This window comes from Homo sapiens, chromosome 10, assembly GCF_000001405.40.
Source record: "Homo sapiens chromosome 10, GRCh38.p14 Primary Assembly".
NCBI lineage: Eukaryota > Metazoa > Chordata > Mammalia > Primates > Hominidae > Homo > Homo sapiens.
The window spans coordinates 32121970-32125599 of NC_000010.11; the positions used below are offsets into that span (position 1 = coordinate 32121970).

Consider the following 3630-nt stretch of genomic DNA (forward strand, 5'->3'; position numbering starts at 1 on the left):
CAGCTGGCACTGGGGATTGCAGTGGTGCCCAGAAGCTTGGAGACACCAGGAACCTCAGGGCCCCAAAGAGAAAGTCACATCCCTGGCTCAGGGAGCTCCCAGGTCTGGGCTCCCCAAAAGGCCACAGCTCTTGTCTCATTCTGTTCACCCACAACATGATGAGCAGGGGGCAGGTTTCTGCCCTGTTTATGTTACAACTCTTTTAGTCTTGCCATTTGATGGGCCCTGAGTTCTCATCCTGGGACCAAGAAGAATGAGGTACACAGACAAGTGGAGGGTGAGCAAGATGAAGAGGAGCCTTACTGAACAACAGAACAGCTCAGAGGAGACCCGCAGGGGGCAGCTCCTTTCCGCAGCCAGGGTGTCCTAATGAGTGTTCACCTCCTAGCAGAGAGGAGACTCTGGAGTGGGAAGTTCTTCTCTGCAGGCAGGTTGTCCTGTTGTCTCTGCAGCTCTCAGCAGAGAGGAGGCCCTGGAGTGGGTTGCTCCTCTCCGCAGCTGGCTGTCCCAATGTCTCTGCAAGTCTCTGAAGCTCTCAGCATAGAGGAGGCCTTAGAGTGGATAGCTTCTCTCTGCTGCTGGTTGTCCTAACATCTGCTCAGTTCTGGCTGAGCTTGGGGCTTTTATGGGCCTCCGAGAGGAGGAAGTGTGCAACAATTGGTCCGTGAGCAGCCATGGATGGGCCCAGAAAAGCCACCACAAGCTCCCACTCTGGTCTGCAGGACTGGGAGCCCAGCTTCCAGCTTTCAGGCCCTCCCTGGCCTGAAGGTGGGACCTCACCAGGGACCCACCCCCTTCTGCCCAGGAATCTGTCTGCCTCCTGCTGCCATTCATAGTGCGCAGGCTCCCCCCAGCTTTGCTCCAAGATCGGACCAGGCACTGACAACAGGGAGAAGCCAGGCAGTGGAGCAGGCACTTCCAAGCCTATAAGGGTGGCGGTGGGGGTGACTTCCTGGGCCTCCAAGAGTGCAGGGTTGCCTAGGTCTGCAGCTGCAGTTTGGGCAGCTGCAGCTGTGCCTGGGAGCGTGGGGATCTTGCCTACTCTGTGGAGTGGGAGGCCCAGGTCTGCAGCTGAGGTTTGGGTGGCTGCAGCAGCACCCAGGAAGCTCTCACCCCAACTTAGAAGGGATGAGGCTCCCACTTGTTCCCAGCTCCCACGGGCTCCACAGAGCAAGGAGCGCTGGCCACTCCTCCCTGCTGCAGCTGGTGTGATGGCAGCGGTGGCTCCAGATGGCCTGCCCCTCCCATCAGTTTCACCTCTCTTGGGGATCTCTGTGCTTGGAGCAGTAACATGGTATGATTAAGGTAGGATTTCAGGGCCTGGTGGGCTGAGGCAGGGAAGGAAGGAAGCAGATGTTCAGCTAGCAGAGCAGCAGAAAGATTTAAGATCCTGGTTCTGTTCCTCCCTAAGGCCCGATCTCATTTCTCTTCTTGGACTCCATGAGACACACAGGTGTCCTTGACTAATTTCCACTTTTTGCTTTAGCTAGTTTGAATTTATGCTCTATCATTTGTTAAACTAAGTTTAGCTTAAAGCTGCCTCCTTACGTTATTTTAAGTTCAGCCTAAAGATATCTCTGTACATAATGAACTGTAAACTAACTGGATGTATGAACAGACTGCAAGCTATGCTTGTGCCAATCATCAAGTTTTGGCCAATCAAAGGTGACCAACTGTTCAAAACATGTTCAAATAAGGCAAACGCCCAGCTGTAACCGATCTAGCTGTTTCTGCACCTCACTTCCATTTTCTGTACATCACTTTCCTTTTGCTGTTCATAAATCTTCTCGGACCACCAGGCCATACTGGAACCTCTCTCTACCTCCCTCTGGTTCAGGGGCTGCCCTAGTTCTTTGCTCAATTAAACTCTGCTAAATTTAATTTGTCTAAGATTTTTCTTTCATTTACTTTTTATTTTTTGAGAAAGGATCTTGCTCTGTTGCCCAGTCTGGATTGCAGTGGTGCCATCTGGGCTCACTGCAGCCTCTGCCTCCCGGGTTCAAGCAATTCTCATGCCTCAGCCTCTCGAGTAGCTGGGATAACAGGCATGTATCACCACACCTGGCTAATTTTTGTATTTTTCATTGAGATGGGGTTTTGCCATGTTGGCCAGGCTGGTCTCAATCTCCTGGCCTCGAGTGATCAACCCACCTCAGCCTCCCAAAGTGTTGGGATTACAGGCATGAGCCACCATGCCTGGCCTGTTTAAGATTTTTCTTTTAACACACTCCAGCCAAAATAATCCTGGCTAATCCGGCTGGGCGCGGTGGCTCAAGCCTGTAATCCCAGCACTTTGGGAGGCCAAGACGGCGGGGGATCACTTGAGGTTGGGAGTTCAAGACCAGCCTAGCCAACATGGAGAAACCCCGTCTCTACTAAAAATACAAAATTAGCCGGGTATGGTAGCAGGCTCCTGTAATCCAAGCTACTCAGGAGGCTGAGGCAGGAGAACTGCTTGAACCTGGGAGGCGGAAGCTGCAGTGATCCAAGATTGCACCATTTCTCTCCAGCCTGGGCAACAAGAGTGAAACTTCATCTCAAAAAAAAAAAAAAAAAAAAAAAAAGAATCCTGGCTAATCCAGTATCATTGTTTTTTCTCACTAGCCAAAGATTACATCTAAATTGTGCCTTTTTATTGCTTTTCTTTTCCTCTTTGATCATATTTAAAATATATGAAGCTGGCTAGAGAATTACAATGATCACTCAATGCCTTGAGCAATGGGCACTGCTACTTGAAGTGACAAATAGCCCCAATATGGGAAGGGTGGGCACGGGAGAGCTCTTAGCTTTGGGCTTCACACAGAAGCAGGAGGGCTTTCTGAAAAATGTACTTGGGTGAGACTCCATCATTTGGGACTTGTCCTGGGATTCTTTTTTTCTTTCCCCCAAGACGGAGTCTTGCTCTGTCACCAAGGCTCGAGTGCTGTGGCGTGATCTCAGCTCACTGCAACCTCCACCTCCTGGGTTCAAGCGATTCTCCTGCCTTAGCCTCCCAGGTAGCTGGGATTACAGGCACATGCCACCACAGCCAGCTAATTTTTGTATTTTTTAGTAGAGACAGGGTTTCACCATGGTGGCCAAGCTAGAGGCTGGTGTCGAACTCCTGACCTCGTGATCCGCTTGCTTCAGCCTCTCAAAGTGTTGGGATTACAGGTGTGAGCCACCGCGCCCAGCTTGTCCTGGGATTCTAACAAAAGACATTGAGTTGAGAAAGATTCTGTCCTCTAAACTTCTCTACATTACGCCGCCCTTCCCCCTTCCTCACAACCCCTCAGGGATCTCAACAAAGGCTGTGTGTCAAGGACATTGGGACAAAGGTCTATTCACCAGTGTAGTGGAACAGACAGCAATCTAGACATTTCCATGAGTAAAGGAAATAATTGTTTGTGTGAATTTTTAACATTTCAAGTCTGTGTTGCCACACAATCTCACTGGCATCCCTTAGTTCTCAAACTCGAAGGATTTAAGAGCCAACATGCTTTTATATTTTCATCTCTCTGTTACTGTACATTTCAACATCTGTCATTTTAATTTGATCCCACTAATTCATAGCAGTGAATTTTTAAAAATGCCTAAATGATCATCATTTTTTTATTCTCTAAGATTTCATTTTTCATCAAGATCACACTC

The 3630-nt window shown here is 49.4% G+C and overlaps 1 annotated feature.

Moving 5' to 3' along the window:
• Positions 992 to 1491: an enhancer, noted in NCBI's record as "H3K27ac hESC enhancer chr10:32411889-32412388 (GRCh37/hg19 assembly coordinates)". NCBI's record gives its function as "activates a minimal SCP1, AML or CMV promoter by ChIP-STARR-seq in naive H9 embryonic stem cells {active_cell/tissue: H9 hESC(naive)}" and the evidence as "EXISTENCE:reporter gene assay evidence [ECO:0000049][PMID:30033119]".